General features: G+C 34.0%; 1 protein-coding gene across 25 annotated transcripts in view; it reads right to left on the reverse strand.

Moving 5' to 3' along the window:
• The window catches only part of CDC42BPA (CDC42 binding protein kinase alpha), a 328,635-nt gene that overhangs the window by 58,255 nt on the left and 253,472 nt on the right, over nt 1–16,908 (reverse strand). For 7 of the 25 annotated variants that reach the window (XM_017002580.3, XM_011544309.4, XM_017002578.3 and 4 more), the window contains 2 exons: nt 11,261–11,299; nt 3,769–3,873 (listed from right to left, as the gene is read on the reverse strand). The exons of 8 other annotated variants lie outside the window; for them this stretch is intronic. In XM_017002580.3, coding sequence (XP_016858069.1) covers nt 3,769–3,873; nt 11,261–11,299 — 144 coding nt within the window. The remainder of the gene's footprint in view (nt 1–3,768; nt 3,874–11,260; nt 11,300–16,908) is intronic. 10 more of the 25 variants (XM_047432365.1, NM_001394014.1, XM_006711834.5 and 7 more) reach the window with 3 other exon arrangements.

Below are 16,908 nucleotides of genomic sequence, written 5' to 3' on the forward strand. Positions count from 1 at the left end.
GGCAAAAAGTTCTACTAATTAATAATAAAGAAAACCTCAATAAAGCTAAAATTCTCATAGTGTTGATAATTTAAATCTCTGCCTGCAATATCTACGAATGAAATATTTGTTCAATTAGTAAGTTACTTTAGTCTGGAAATATAAAAATAAATCATTTGGATCAAATGATTCAAATAAAAAAAGCCATAGCATGTGGCCTACATAAATATGAGGATATTAATTTTTACATTCATCTGAATTTGCCATATTCTAAAAAGTATCTCAAAATGATTTATAATAAAATATTTAGAAGATTCTTTTAACTACTCAACTTTCATACATAGAACATATATTACATATATAGAACACAGCTCTGGATGTGAATACATAGACAGAGACTGACACTGGGATTTTTGTGCAGAAATTAATTTCCAAAGAAGGGAATTATTTAATTTTATTGTAATTATTTAATATTATTGGAATTCTGACTTTAATACAAATTTAGTCACATACCATATCTTTCTTAGGTAGCTATGTAAAATATGGTCTTCTTTTATGGGGTTTTATTGTAATATTATTTCTTTGAATGCAAAGAACCAATCATTCCACTGGATGTTATTATGGGGAAAAAAGAGCCACTGCTTAATCAGCAAAGTAGTGAGAAAAAAAAAAAAAAAAAAGACATGGAAAGTAACTTCCTTTCAGGATGCCAAGCAAAAAAATAAAAGGAAAACGCTAGTCTTTGTATAAAGAACAGAATATTTTAAAATATTATAAGAAAAATGGATGGTCCTTTCTTTGCTGTTATTATACAACCTCATCTTTGTTGTTACTATACAACAATCTATCTTTGTTACCATACAACCTCCAAAAACAGAATATTTTATAAGCACTACAGCCTTAAAACAAAATTCAGTTGAGTTTCTCAGAGTTTTCTGTTTGTGAGTTTAGCTCTAATTTAGATTTTATTTACTTTTAAATAGCTTGAAAAAGTTTTAAACCAAACTTATAATTTAACATTTGAAAAGATACATATGAAAGATAAAAGAGAGGAACACTGAAAATCTATACAAAAGTTAATAAAAAACAATAGGAAACAAAGTCGTCAAATTTACATAGAAAGTCCAAAGGTTATTAGAATTAAAAAAAATTAAGCAAGGGTGCTGGATACAAGATCTAGAGTTTATAAAGACAAGGCAATGCACAGTAAGAAAATGTATTTAAAAAGAATCCCAGTCACCACAGCAACAAAAAATTTAAGGTACCTAGGAACAAATCTAACAAGCAATATGAAATACACTGAAAATAATGAAACTTTATTGAAGGATATAAGAGAATCCCTAATATGTATACCATGTTCATAGATGGAATACCCAGTATCATGAAAGATGTCAATTCTCCTCAAATAGATCTATACATTAATGCAATTCCAATCAAAAGCCCCATGTGAAATTTGACAAGCTGACCTTAAAAGTAATATGAAAAACTAAAAGGTCAAGAAGAAAAGGAAGAAGGTATGTGGGATGGCTCACCATACCAGGTATCAGGAATTATTTTAGAGTGAAAGTAATTGTAATTAAGACAATTTACTGCCAATGCAGGAAAAACCAAAAGAACAATGGAAAAGAATTGAGAGTATCCAAACAGATCCATGCATATAAAGCAGAAATAGCCATTACAAATCGATGGGGGGAAATATAGCAGGGTCACTTGTTCACATGGGAAAAAGACATTAGAAGCCCATTTCCCATTATACATAACAATATATATCAGTTTGATTAAGGTCCTAAACAAGTAAAAGCAAAATTTAAAAACTTTTAGAAGAAAATATAGAAGAAAATCTTTATAATCTCTGCATAGAGAACTGTTTTAAAAAGACATAAAAAGCAGAAGTCATAAAGAAAAAGACTGATAAATCTGACTATTTTAAAATCAAAACTTTTGCAAGACAAAAAGACACCACAAATAAAATTTTAAAATAAGCCACAGACTGGGAGAAAATATTTGCAATGCATATAGCTAGCAAAGAATTAGTATCTAGAGTATATAATGAACACAAAAAGCTATAAGAAAAATGATTCAATAGAACAACAAAGGACACAAACAGGCAAATCATCAATGGTCAATAAACATACAAAAAGATGCTGAATAACACTAGAAAACAGATGTAATACAAAAATGACACTTAATACCCATCAAGCTGGCAAAAGTTAATGTGTGACTGTGAGGTGAGGATGTGGGGAAATGGGGAACTCACACACACTGCTGGGGGAGTGAAAATTGGTCCAACCACTGTGGAAAACAATTTGGCAAGATCCAGTTAAACTTGAAAATGCATATAACATACAACTCAGTAATTCCACTAAGTATACATGCCAAACAAACTCTGTACATTTGCAAAAACAGATATTAGGATATTAATTTCAGCACTGATAATAATGAAAAATTGGAAACAACCTAAATATCCAACTGCAGGAGAATGGATAAGTAGTTGTGGTATATGCCACAGTTATAATGAATGAACTAAATGAACACATATCTGTAGGAATAAACCTGAAAAGCAGACTTCTGAATGAAAAAAATTACAGAAGGATACAGGTAATATTTATGTAAATTATAAACACATAATAAGCACTACTATGTATCATTTGTGGATACAAATGAAATGAACATCTAAAACCAAGAAAGGGAAGATGCACATCAGCTTCAGGATATTTAGATATGTCTGGGAAAGAAGAGTGGGGAACGGTATACACGAGGATGTTTCAACTGTTTCTGAAATATTTTTGAATAAAAACCTGAAAAACAAGCAAAATTTTCGTATCTGTTTAATCTGTGGGTGATATTTACATGGGTGTTTATATTCTCTGAATGCTTGAAATATTTTATCATTAAAACAAAAATGTATAATCTCAAAATATTAAAACAATTATAACTAAAAACACAAGAGGGTCTCATTAACTTAAACAATTTGGGGGAGTCTGTCACAGAGTTGGAAAAATCAAGTCAGAACCTGACTACAACCTCACACTTCACTTCAGACAACTCTTCAGATTGGACTATCTGCTTCTATTGGAATGCTAGACACAGCTCTGGAGATTTAAGAAAAGGAAAGCAAAGGAGCTTTGTCTGAATCCTGATGCTGAATGAAGAACCAGAGCTGATCTTAAGGTAGGATGGTATGGACTGAGGTACAGCATTCTTTTGACTTGTGGAAGAAATGATCTCTGTTAAGAAAATTGGCCTATTGGCTATTTAAAACCATTGATTGACATGAAGTGTAAACACAACACAGTTTTTTTTGCACTATTAAATGTCAGGATTTAGTTGACTGTTACCAATTTAGCAGTTAGAATGAACTATTCAGTTGCCAGAAGTGGCTATTTTATTTTTCAGCTCTATTTATGATGTAACAGGTTAGTTATATCATGACCTATTACATTTATTAGAAGAATTAAAATATGAGAATGGCACCTGCACTGCCATTTGCCTAGAGTTTCTAATAATTCAAAAATTTACATAATTAATCTTCTGTTCTACATGGTTCTCTAATTAAAATAAAGACTATCTTTCTAGTTAGTTTTGTCTATTTCAGATTGACTATTTGAGGACAATGTGCTCTTTAGTTTTTTACTTCTACCTACATTATCAGTTAAATGTAATGATCTCCAATAGACTGTAACTTATTACATATTTGGTTAAGAGGAGAGAGACAGACTTGTTTTATTCAATTCCCTCTTTTCTGACACAAGTGAAAAGTTGGGGAGCAGGGATGCTCCAATAAGGCACCTTAACTGGCTCAGCTTCACTAGATGTGGAAGGAGATGTGGACCGTGACTGGATGTGAAACTTGACGCTCGGGTTCCATACATATGTGTTCTCAACGGGATCAGTCTAGGAAAATAAGTCGGGAAAAATAAAAACCCAAAAAATCACTTTTCAACAATGTGCAGGCTTAGCAAATTTCTGTAAGGCATGATTATGACAACATTTCTTGAGAAAGGAGGATAACAAACTTTAGTTTGAATATTCACGTTAGGGATACATCATTATACAAAAGCATAACCACTACCTTTAATGTAAACAAGGATTGACAGAATAGTTAACCAAAGGCTCCTCCCTGATCTTCACTGTTGATCTGTTACTTTGAGCCCTGGTCCTACTGCACATTCTATGTTGGTATTCCACATGGAACTTTTTATTTCACAAAAGGAATCATACATGTGAAATAAATGCCGGGTACTTAATAGAGATACATACGGCAGATTAAAGATAACTTTGTCCTTGATAAGAATGAAGTTTGGTCTTTTACTACTCATTAACTGAAAGTAAAAAAAACCTAACCTATCAGTTTTGTGCAGGACACTAAAGTAAGTCTTCCCTTTATTTTGCATCAGTAGAAAAACCAGCACTTATATTCAGTCGCATCCTTTTACACCAAGTATTTTTAGAAATTAAAAATGCTTTGGGTTAAAATTTAGCATAAAAGATCTTATGAACCATACTGATTGAACCATACTAGTCTGTATGGCAAGTTTCAGAGTTACTAGGATTGAGTTTTTAAAATGAAAGGACAATGAAGGTAATTTGGAAAAGTGGTTCAGGAACTTACTTTGAATATGTTGTACAGCAAAACAATGTTTAGATCAGAAATCACAAATCATAAAAACACCATCAGTTTAAGAATTTAAACATGAACTTATAATTATTTTCCTTTGTTCTTACTATGGCTATATTTTAGAGGGAAGACATGATGATAACGTATCCCTTAGAAATGCCACTGCTGAAAGAGTCAGGTGCAGTTGAGACTGCTGGCAAAGTAGAACTATTAAAACAATGAATTAAAATACAATGCCCTTGTACTCAAAACTAAGTGAAAAGCAAAATTTCACTTTGAATGAATGATAAATAATTGAGAGTAGAAACACTTGGAAAAGAAGGTTCCCCTAGAAATTAACTTCATAGATTTGTTTTTAGCTCAACAGAACTCTGGGCATGTGGCTTCAATCTCTAAGGGCACAAATTGTTTTCTCAAGTTGGGGATATTTTCCTATTGATAATTAATGTAGAATACTATCAGCAATGTATGATATGTTGCATATGTTAAAAACAGTCAACTTCTGTTCAATGTGGAGAATTTAAAACATCTGGCAAGTGTATGGGAAGAATAGGCTAGCAGGCTGGGAAACACTATCGTGCCCTCCATTGGTGCCCACCTACGGCCTTCCTGGGTGGTGGGCATGGAAAGGTATTCTGGTAACCACAAAGCCACCACCAGGCCATAAACTTTCAGCTACTGGATTTGGGAGGAGTAGGGAGAAGAAGGGTGAAGGCATTAGGGGTCTTGGAGCAGCAACCACTTACCAACTGCTAGGATACTCAATATTTAAAAAACTGGGCCACTGAACTAAAGCTTACCAGCTGAATATCAGCTCTGTACATGTGATGTGGCTGATTTCATGAAACTAGTATGCCTTGTGAAGTTGGAGAGCCAGGCCTGTATCCCAACTCAAGTCCAAATTCAGCACTATTTTTGTCCTACCAGAGGCATCTCCACAGCAGAGTAATTTACTCAAAGTAATTTAATAATCAAGGAGGCTAAGTTATATTATTTCCTTTCCTGATAGTAAATTTTGACCAGGAAAAGAAAAAGTAGAAGAAAATGGGACTCAAGACACATTTTGGCCCAGTTTACAATTTTATTCAGGGACAGCCATGGAGAAAGTAATCAGTTTAGATTATAAATATGAAATATGACTCTGAGTTGGGAATATGGCAGAAATGTCTTTTAGTTTCTAAAAATCTCCTCCTCCTAGTTTTCATAAGATTATACACATTGCAAGAATTAGGTGTCCATGGAGAGGGGCTTTAGTTAAAATGGAACTGAGAAGCAAAGCAGAATTGATACATTTTATACCAGTAAGAACTTAAAACTGACTGAAATGTCATCTCAAGAAGTTTTAAGGTATCTAAGTAGGGGACTTTCTATGTGTAAGAAACTGAGCCATCTTAAGAAAATTGTAAAGTTTCTGACCTGTTGCAAAAGGCTTTATTTAGCCCCACAGCTTGACAGAAAGACACAAAATGCGAAGTTCCTGTGTGAAAGGTAATGCTGTGTATATGTGAATAGCTGATATAACGGCTTTGTATTATCTGGGTTTGATTATTTCAAAAACTCTTTAAAAATGGGAAAGGCCAAGTATTTGCTGTTTGCAATAGCACTGGTTGAAATTTTACAGCAGGTCTGCTCTTTGAGCTGTTTAAACACATGCTGACAGAAGTTGGGCATACTGTCTTCTACTTTCTCGCATTAAAATTAGAAAATACTGCCTTAAGCCATTTTGTCAGTATATGGACTAATGGAAGGTTATATCATGAAATCAGTGAACCTAAAAAGCAGGGCTTTCTCTAGTCCCAGAGCTGGTTGTTAAAACATTTACCAGCATGTTTGCTGATCCTATGAAAATGTGGTATTATGACAGTGGGATATTGGAGAAAGGAAAAATACACTATCAATTTAATTTGCAACTACACAAATTAGTAACTCTTTTCTTGAGGCTTTTAACACACACCTCTTGGCTCCTCTGTCAAGTCTTATTCTCCTAACTAGTTTTTCTCCAACAATAAAAATGAAAGAGAATATGGATATGGACAAATTTAAAAGTGATTTTCTTTGCTGAATGAGGTAAAAGGTGGTTATTCAGAAATAGAAAATATTTAATTTAAATGAAAATATTTAATTGTAATAAAGTAGAATAATGAAATTTACCATACTAGCTTTTTAGAACTATATACTCTTAAATAAAAATCAATTTCAGAGTTTAAACAAAATCAAGTAATTTTTCCTATAAAAAATATTAAAAATAAGTGAAAATACTGAAATATTTTGAGATGGTATTAGGCATATTAAAAAGTTGAACTATGCCATTTATAGTGATAGTCATATCTTTAATTTTAAAAACCTATGAATATAATAATTAAAATTTAAAAATTACCACTTTACTTTCAAAGTGTGTTTCTTTTAAAGACAAAGGACAAAGCTTGGTAAAGGTGAATAAACTCAGGGCAAAAACCATTTCAAATATAAAAAAAAATGTCCAGGCCTTTTAAATGAAACTAATGCTAATAACATTAATAGATTTAAGTATTTCATTTCTCGGTTACCGCCAGTGTAAACAATATCTCAAAAGTGTTACACCACAAATCACTTATTTTCTTTATTCAAGTTTTAATTATCGCCAACCAGACTGGAATTTTCAGGAAGTTACTAATTTTAACCACAATTAAATGCCTACCAATGCATTTATAATTAATGGCTTATTCTATCCACTAAAAAGCAATTAATTCTATTAAACTTTCAGAATATTCAATGAATACATGCTGGCATTTAAAGACAGCCTATGATTCAGTTTAATTATGAATTGGCAATGACTCTGATATAGTATAGCAGCAAAGCAACTGATTAATACCATTAGTTATTTTATTACAAAGTATTTTAAAACCTTAAAAACAAACATAATCATTATTAATATTTTAGCCATGGAAGTTAAAATATTCTTTTTGTCATTTTTTATGTGCTAAAATACTATAGCATTAAGTATAATAATGCAGCAAAAGCTAATAAACATACATAAGTAGCAGAGATATTATAAATTCAATATAAGAAATATCTTTAAGTAAATGCAATTTTTTTTTGTTAGCTAATTTTCTTTTCCTAAGTAAACATACTTTAAGGTGTTACTCTGACGAACAGTCATTAGAAACATCTACTATATTTCAGTATCATTTTACTTAATGCTCTGTTAAAAAAAAAAAGAGGAAAAGCTGAATATTAGTGGTACTGTCCATACTGCAAAACATTTTAATGCAAAATGTTCATAATGGTCCCTGAAGCTGTTAGGATTTTTCTACTAAAAGATCCTCAAATGTATTTTTACAGTAGTACATTTAAAAAGGTCCCCCCGCCGCCCAGGATCACAGAACTGGTTTTTAGATGACCCACTTATCAAGAATTCCTCAAATTATGGACAGCATGGTTTTCCTATAAATAATAAAAATAACTAAAACCACTCATCTTGAATATGTATCAACAGGCCTTTTCTACTGCCTAAATAATTACAGATTTGCACAAGTAACAACCCCTCTCATAAGAAACCTTGCTTCAAAGTAAAAAACACCAAGATGTGATATGGATTATATATGGTCAACCTACTAAAAACTAGCTTGCATCTAACAAGTTGTTTGTTATTGGTAAACATAAACTGTAAGTTAAAAAGTCCCAGTTTCTTTTCTTTTCTTTTCTTTTTTTTTTTTGAGACAAGGTCTTTCTCTCTTGCCCTGGGATGTAGGGCAGTGGCACAATCACGGGTCACTACAGCCTTGAATTCTTGAGCCGAACTGATCCTCCTACCTCAGCCTCTAGAGTAGCTGTGAACACAGGCATGTGCCACTATGCCTGGCTAATTTTTAAAAAATTTTTTTGTAGAGGCAGGGTCTCCCTATGTTGCCCAGGATGGTCTCAAACCCTGGGCTCAAGCGATTCTCCCGCCTTGGCCTCCCAAAGTGCTGGGATTACAGGCGTGAGCTACCATGCCTGGCCAAAATCCAGTTTCTATCAATTTTCTTTATCCTCTAGCTAGAAGTATTTTGAAAACAAAGTAGAAGGTAATTTAATATTTTGTATTGAGAACAAGTATAAACTCAAATCTTTTAGTGATATATTTATTTCTGTTAATTGAACTTATGATACAAAAACAGTATTACAGAAGTACTATATCATTTGGAAAACAGTAAATACATTTTATTGCGCTAGAACAAATCCTAACAAATGACTAAAGGTTGTGACCAGTAAGGGTAAGCTTACTAGTTATACATAATGCACCTTGTTTCCCTTTAAGAAAATTTATTCTCAAGTTATTTTCAATATACTGATTGGAATATCTAGTCTGGAGAATTTACACATATTCTAAGAAAACATAAGAGAAAGTTAAGCCATACGTGGGCTATAAAATCTCTGCTCCAAACTCTAAATGAACAATCTGAAATAATACATTCAGTGTTTCTCACTATTAATGAAAGCACTGTGGAAATCTCTCTCATCATTTGTATTTGGACATTAACAATACTATCAATAAAAACTTTTTCTTCTACTATACTTAATACTATTTATAAAGAAAATCATTCAAACTGTAAATGAGGTTTAATAGCATACTAGAAACAAGAATGCAAGAAACATTATTTTGTAATACTACCTCATTCATATGACATTTCATAGTTAATTTTAAATTTATTAAAATACTGCATATTTTCTTGTCTAAAAACATGGTATATAACATAAAATCTTATGCTACTGTTACAACAGAGGCCATTGTTAAGAATGGTAACTGCATGTGTCCTACTGAAATACACTGATGTCCCAGGGAACACTGAGGTTCTACACTATACCACTGAGATGCTTCTATTTAACAGCTGAGTAATTTGTAATTCTTCAAGCATCTTCACAGGCACTATTACTTTTCAGTGGCTGACTTTTTTTGTGAGATACTTAACCAAAGAAAAATTGAAGGAGGCCAGGAAAGCAGATAACCAAGCCTATTATATCTACGTTTAAAATAATCATATGTAATAATAAGTCAATAGATTATGGTTAATTATAGTTTATTCATATCTCATAGAATAAAGACATAGAATTAAGGAGAGACCTTATAACAGCTATTTCCCTCCAAAATTTTTTTCTTATTTCAAGATTCACAAAAAATGTTCTAGGTGTCCAAGGCCCCAGAAAGTCTGCAAGGCAAGTGAGACATAATTAATCCATAATAAAATGAGAGAAACAAATCCTAAATTATAACCTTATTGAAAAAACAGCAAGTAGTTAAAAATTTAGTCAATTCACGGGCTGGTGATTTGACCCTAATATAACTGGGCACACAACATATTGGTTTTCCCTTCTAGAGGTTATGTAATGTAATCAACATATATTCAGATTCATTTGATAAATCCAAATATCTAATGGTTTTAAGTCTCTACAAGTTTCAAAATAATCAAGCAATCAGTTGAACTAGTAATCTTTCATAAACACAATAATTAATGAGATATCACTTGAATGCAGTTCTACTGGCCATAGTACAGGTATCTGAAATGCTTATTCATTATTAAGCTGTAATCCGAAAATATTATATATGCTATATTAGAGTTATTCATGTTTATTTTACAACCAACCCTCCAACATACCAGAAAGACAGGACCACAGGAAGCAGCAGGCCACCCCTACTGCTTCCCATGCCTACCACAAACCACAGAATTCCCTCATCTAGAACTTTCCGAGTCTAAGAATTCGGAATGTAAAGTGTTGATCAGTCTCCACGGAGATGACTGGTGAACATTACGAATTTGTATCCATCACTGACTTTCCTTTTGAATGTTACTATTTTACATAGTATATGAAAATCCCAACACTGTCAGCTACCCTGTCGCTTTTCAAATAGGGAGTATGTATGTGTGTTTATGACTAGTGTTGGGATGTGGCTGGTTTAGAAAAATTCCATCTCTGGGCATGTCAGAATCTTGTAGCACAGAGGTAGTGGCTGACTCATTTCAAGTTGAGAAACACAGAGCTAGGATTAGTATAGGAAGATATTTACAGTTTGTTAATAATACATATATAAATAATGTTACTGATATTTTTTAAATCTTGGAATTATCTTAGAATAGAAAGGCTTTATTATTAACATTATTTCCTCAGATCTAGATAATTAGTTTGGGAGATTCCTCTGAACTACATTAAAAAAAAAAAAACAAGATTTCTCTAGAACTGATTTACATAAATTATAGTCAATAAGATGTATAATTTGTTCCAAATCATTTTTGAATGTTGTACAACATGAATGATCAAGTTTTCTTTCTACATAATTAAAATCTCTAAGAAACAATCTACATACTTGCTTACAAAAGATTCTTAGGAGCTCATGTACTTTGACTACTTAGAAGGCATACTTTAGGATCACTTTTCCCCTTGATCAAACTAAAAAAGATATCATTTTAGTAGTTTGGTTATAGTGATTTATATGAACATTCCTAAAGCTTTGCGGCCAAAGCCAAAAAAAAAACATAAACAAAAACATAAAAGCAGCACAGCAACAGCAGGAGCAGCAGCACAAAGCATGCAATAGATGTAATAATATACCACAAAAACATTAACAGGTTCCGCAATCACAGGCAAAAGGATGAGAGAGGGGTAAAAGGCCTCAGGATGGGTACATAAAGTGCAAAAGTCTCTTACACGTCTGCCTTTGCTAGCTGGAGTACAGGATGGAGAGCGCTTCAACAGAGAAAGGAGAATAGGACATGTTACAAATATTTACACACATAAGACTCTCAAGGACTACTATTGTATTAACAGACAAAGTATATAAACATACATATAAAGCCACAGTTTTGGATAGGTTGAATGTACATGTATTTTTAGGAAAAACTGGAGGATAGGATGGTAAAGAAACAGTTGTTTGGACTACGTCTAAGGTTGACAAACTTTTCACTGGCCCATGTACAGTGACCCACAAAATAAGCCTTCATCAAGTGATAGACAATTTCTTTTCTGGAAAGGTTGGCAGTAGCAGACTGGAACAAATGAGAACAAAAAGGATCTAGATATTTCTGATTTAGTGCTGGCAAACATTCAATAAAATAATGAACTAGCCTGGCGTTAGACATTTACCTAGTAAATTTTTACTCTTTTCAAAAATGATTCTTTTAAATGACAAGGGCTAAGTTAGGATTTCAGAATTAATGATAATAAATTAAAATTAAAAGTTATTTGAACAATACTCCATCCTGACTCAACTTCAGCCATAGTCAAAAGAGGGACTTTCACCTTTCTAACATTAAAGAATTAAGTAATTAGGAAAAAAGGAACAATTATCTCAAAAAGTTTTTTTTTGTTTTTTTTTTTTTTTTTTGAGACGGGAGTCTCGCTCTGTCGCCCAGGCTGGAGTGCAGTGGCGCAATCTTGGCTCACTGCAAGCTCCACCTCCTGGGTTCATGCCATTCTCCTACCTCAGCCTCCTGAGTAGCTGGGATTACAGGTGCCCACCACCACGCCCGGCTAATTTTTTGTATTTTTAATAGAGACGGGGTTTCACCATGTTAGCCAGGATGGTCTCGATCTCCTGACCTCGTGATCCACCCACCTTGGCCTCCCAATCAAAATATTTTTGTGATGCTCCAGCAGTAGAGCTTCACTAATATGAACCATATCTACTTCGGCAATTTCTAACATTCAGTGCAACCTAACATTTGTTGTGAGCTCACAATACGTTGGATACTAAGCCGACTTTGCAAGGGATTGAAAGATAAACAAGACATGGAAGTTCACAGACTGGTAGAGAAGACATCATGCCAGCAACAATGTGACAAATGCTATCACTGAGATATGTACAAGGTTTGTATGGGAACCTAGAGGAGGGACAGAGAAGATTTTCTTGGGGACCTAGAGGAGGGAACTTATAGACTAGGTCTACAGGAGTTATAGAAGATTTAAGAAAAAAGGAAAAGTTCAAGAATGAGAAACACTACCAAAAATTCAGTATTAGTGTTACAATAACTCTGGCAGGTAAGTAAATAGGTACTTTTTTTTTTTTTTTTTTTTTTTTGAGACAGAGTCTTGCTCTGTCACCCAGGTGGATGCAGTGGTGCGATCTCGGCTCACTGCAACCTCTACCTCCCAGGTTCAAGTGATTCTCCTCCCTCAGACTCCCGAGTAGCTGTGATTACAAGTGCGCGCCACCATGCCCGGCTAATTTTTGTATTTTTAGTAGAGATGGGGTTTCACCATGTTGGCCAGGCTGGTCTCGAACTCCTGACCTAAGTGATCCGCCTGCCTCGGCCTCCCAAAGTGCTGGGATTACAGGTGTGAACCACCGCGCCTGGCCAGAAATATTCTTTCTTTCCATAGGAAATGGAATGGAAGATAACTTGAACACTGTGTCCTGCAGAGTTAATAGTAAACCAGGATTAGAAGGCCCGGAGAGTTCTAAAGAAGTTTTTCCATTATGGAGGCTAAAGTCTCAGGTTCAAACCTAGTTACTTTTCCTCAGTTATTAATGGGAAGAACCTCTCTCATTCCTTCTTGCCCCCAAAACCAAACAACCAAACAATAAACAAATCAACTCCAACTCTTCCTCTAGCTATCATCTATCTCCCTTCTTCCTTAATAATCATAATAACATTTATTATGTGCAGAGTATATGCAGATCGTTTTCCAAAGTGCTTTACATATATGAATTATTTTAATTCTCACAGAAACCCTATAAGGTAGGAATTATGATCCTCATTTTAAAGATGTAGAAGATGGATCAACTTGCCTAAGGTTATAAAACTATTAAGTGGTAGAGCCAGGATTCAAAACTTCCTCAGCCAGATTTCTGAAAAATGGTATACAAATGCCGTCTGTATTTTCTAAACTCCCAATTAACTTCTAATACAGTGCAATTCAGATTCTGCTTTGATCTGATACTCAGGTCAGTATTTCTGGTTTGTCCTATCTGACCAACCACCTCTGCCATACCATCACACTGACCATTCCCCTCCTTAAAATTATCTGCTCTTCTAGTTTTTCTGACAGGTACTTTCCTAAGTAACCACATACTTCTCAACGATTGCTTTCTTAGCTTTTGTGGAGTCCTATTCCTTCACCCTTTCTTCAATGGAGATTCCAGGTTTCTGTCCTTGGCTCACTGCTACAATCTGCCCCTTGGGGAATCTCATCCACTTTCAACTCTGATTATTTCCAAATCTCTGTTGCCAGTCCACTCCTCTTCCTTAAACTCCTGACGCATATATTAAATATCTGACTGTCTGCTGGACATCTCCAACTGGATGTCCCTTAGGAATCTCAAACTTAACTTGTCCAAAATGAAGCTGTCACCTTTCTCTTCTGTTAAATCTTTTAATAATTATTACATATGGGACTGATTAAACCTAAGCTCTGTAATATGAAGTATAAAGTTGAGAAACATAGACCCTTATTCTGGCCTTTGCCCATGTCTTCATACTCATTTCTCAATCCCTTCCTCACCCTTTTTGTTTGCCAAGCAAGGGACAATTCTAACTAAATTGAAATCTCCCTCTGTCCACAATCCCGTAACTCCCTGCTCCCTCCCCCCGCAAGTTCGCTCTGCCTGTCTAGAATATACTCCTCTTATGTAGTTGTTTTATGATTTTGCTGAACATACTCATCTGTGAAGACCCAGCTCAGGCATTATTTCCTTTAATAAGCTTTTCTGGATCCTCCTGGTTCAATCAGAAATCTCTCTTCTTTGTATTCCCATGATATACGATCTTTATCTTTTATTACTATATTTCCCACATGGTGTTATAGTTATCTGGTTATATATTTGTCTTTCCAATTAGACTGTCAGGGCAGGAAATATTGTATTATGCTTAAGGGCAGGAAATATTACGCTTAAGGGCAGGAAGTATTGTATTTTGCTTAGCATAAGACTTCAAACTTAAATATTCTCAATAAATATTGAATGAATCCTTCTGAATGTCCATAGTACTTAGCCTAGGTATTTCTCATGGCATTTATTGCTTTCCACATTGCATAGTGTGTAACTATATAATTATTTTTCTAATTATAAAATAAGTACTTTGAGGTCCATTTCCACATCTGCTTTGTCTTTGTATCCATTATGCCCAGTATATTACCACCCATGTAAAAAGTGCTAAAATGTTTAACATAAAAAAAAAAAAAACTTTTTTGGCTATCTCTACTTCTAGACTAGAGTCTGGAGTATGCTAAAACCATGGAAAAGAGCATGAATATCTCAAAATAAATATATTATCACTATACTAAAAACAAGTTAAAATGTCTCCCGAAACTATCTTTGAAAATGAAGGACAATACATTTTCTAAGCCAATACCATTTAAAGCTAATAATGATACTATCACCACAGCAATGATTTCTTACCAAAGTGTTTACTTAGAAATTGTCTAATTTTTATGTTTTCAATATTGTTACGTTTTCAACTATTTTTATGTTTTCAACAGAAAAGGTGAGTTAGAGGAAAACACACCCACACACTTTCTCTCTCATATATACCTACACACACTGTGGTTTTTATAAACACTGAAATTGAATTCATGGCAAACACTATAAACCAGCACCTTGTCTTAATGTGCAACCAAATACCACTTTAAAACATGTATTTCATATATAGGTCCATGACATGCCAACAAAACTTTAAGACTGAATATGAAGGTATGCACACAAGCAGAAACCAAAAGAAATAATCTCAGGAGTACATAATTTGGCTAATAGTTTTTAAGGTTCAATTAATCCTAGAGGTCTTATTTAATAAAATACCAAAGAAGAAATGGACTATGTAATCATGGTTCTTTCTCTTTAGATTGTCTAAATATATTATTATATTATATATGCGATAAAATACGTAATATATACAATTATATTCAACATAATATATTGCCTAAGTTGAGGAAAAAATGCATGTAACTTTCTGAAATATGCAATCTTCAGGTAGGGTTGTGGTGAATATGTGGATAGAAATTGTAAAAACAAGAATTGAATGAGCAAATTTCAGGAATGCCAAAGAAGCTAGGTCTGATTTTGGTCATAGGACTAAAAATCTTTAAAATGTATGTTTTAAAACTCTATTTCCTACCAATTCTCACATACAATTGACCATTCCCCCAAGTATCGCTGAAACTATGCTGCCAAGCCTCAGATTTCTGTAAAAGCCTCGGATTTCTGTAACTGATTGTAACAGAATGTAAAAGAAGCTGGGAGATAAAACCATGTGAAATCAAGAGATAAATTAAAGAAGTTAGAAGCCATGACTGAAATTAAATATTTTGAAGCATCTTAGTAAGATGTTATACAAGGTTAAAATCAAGTCCAGAACTCAGCCTGCCAATGTTGTCAGACTACTTGCTTTTCTTATATGCCAGAATATAAGAATGGAAAACAATATTAGGGGGACCAGACTGTTGGGCTATAGATACTATCTCTGTTTCTCTGTGTCTGACCTTTATATTCCCGAGCTTAATCCTTGATTTACTCTTTCATCAGTATATCAGAGTAAGAAAACTCTGAAAAACCAAGTTGAGTACATTCTCATTTTCCAGGCAAATGGGCAATTTCTATTTTTGTGAACTGGGACTAAATGAACAAAGTGTAGAATTGTAATTTAATCAAATTCAAAACTTACTTAGCACATATTTAATATATGACAATACGTTTCTCAAATATAAAGAGCAAGCAGCTAATTTATATGATTGTAATTAGTATTATCTATAATACTCTCAAGCCAAGCTTTTTCAGGTTCGGCTGAAAAGAAAATGAACTGAAGAGAGTATAGGAAGTTGCTACAAGCTTGGTGTGATGATCCCTGGATCTGTTACTATTGGGATGAAGGGAATAGATGGGGGAAAGAAATGGGAAAATCTAAGCAGCTGAGCTCCATTTGCTCCTCACCCTGTTTATTACCTAGAGAAAGAGGCTGGGGCTAACATGGACTAGACAGTCCAAGACTGGGCATGCACGGTTGAAGGAAAAGATGAGGGTAGAAGTGGGAATAATTTCTACAGCAGAAGGGATCTTGGTATCTCTGTTCTACTGCTTTCTTAATAGGTTGAATGGAAATGCCTTTCTCAAGAGACCACTTATCAAAGTAGTTTCAATTTCTTTTAAAATTAACTCAAACCCAGTCAGGCATGGTGGCTCATGCCTGTAATCCCAGCACTTTGGGAGGCCGAGGTGGGCAGATCACGAAGTCAGGAGATCAAGACCATCCTGGCTAACACGGTGAAACCCCATCTCTACTAAAAATACAAAAAATTAGCCGGGCGTGGTGGTGGGCACCTGTGGTCCCAGCTACTCGGGAGGCTGAGGCAGGAGAATGGCGTGAACC

The sequence above is a fragment of the Homo sapiens genome, chromosome 1, assembly GCF_000001405.40.
Source record: "Homo sapiens chromosome 1, GRCh38.p14 Primary Assembly".
NCBI lineage: Eukaryota > Metazoa > Chordata > Mammalia > Primates > Hominidae > Homo > Homo sapiens.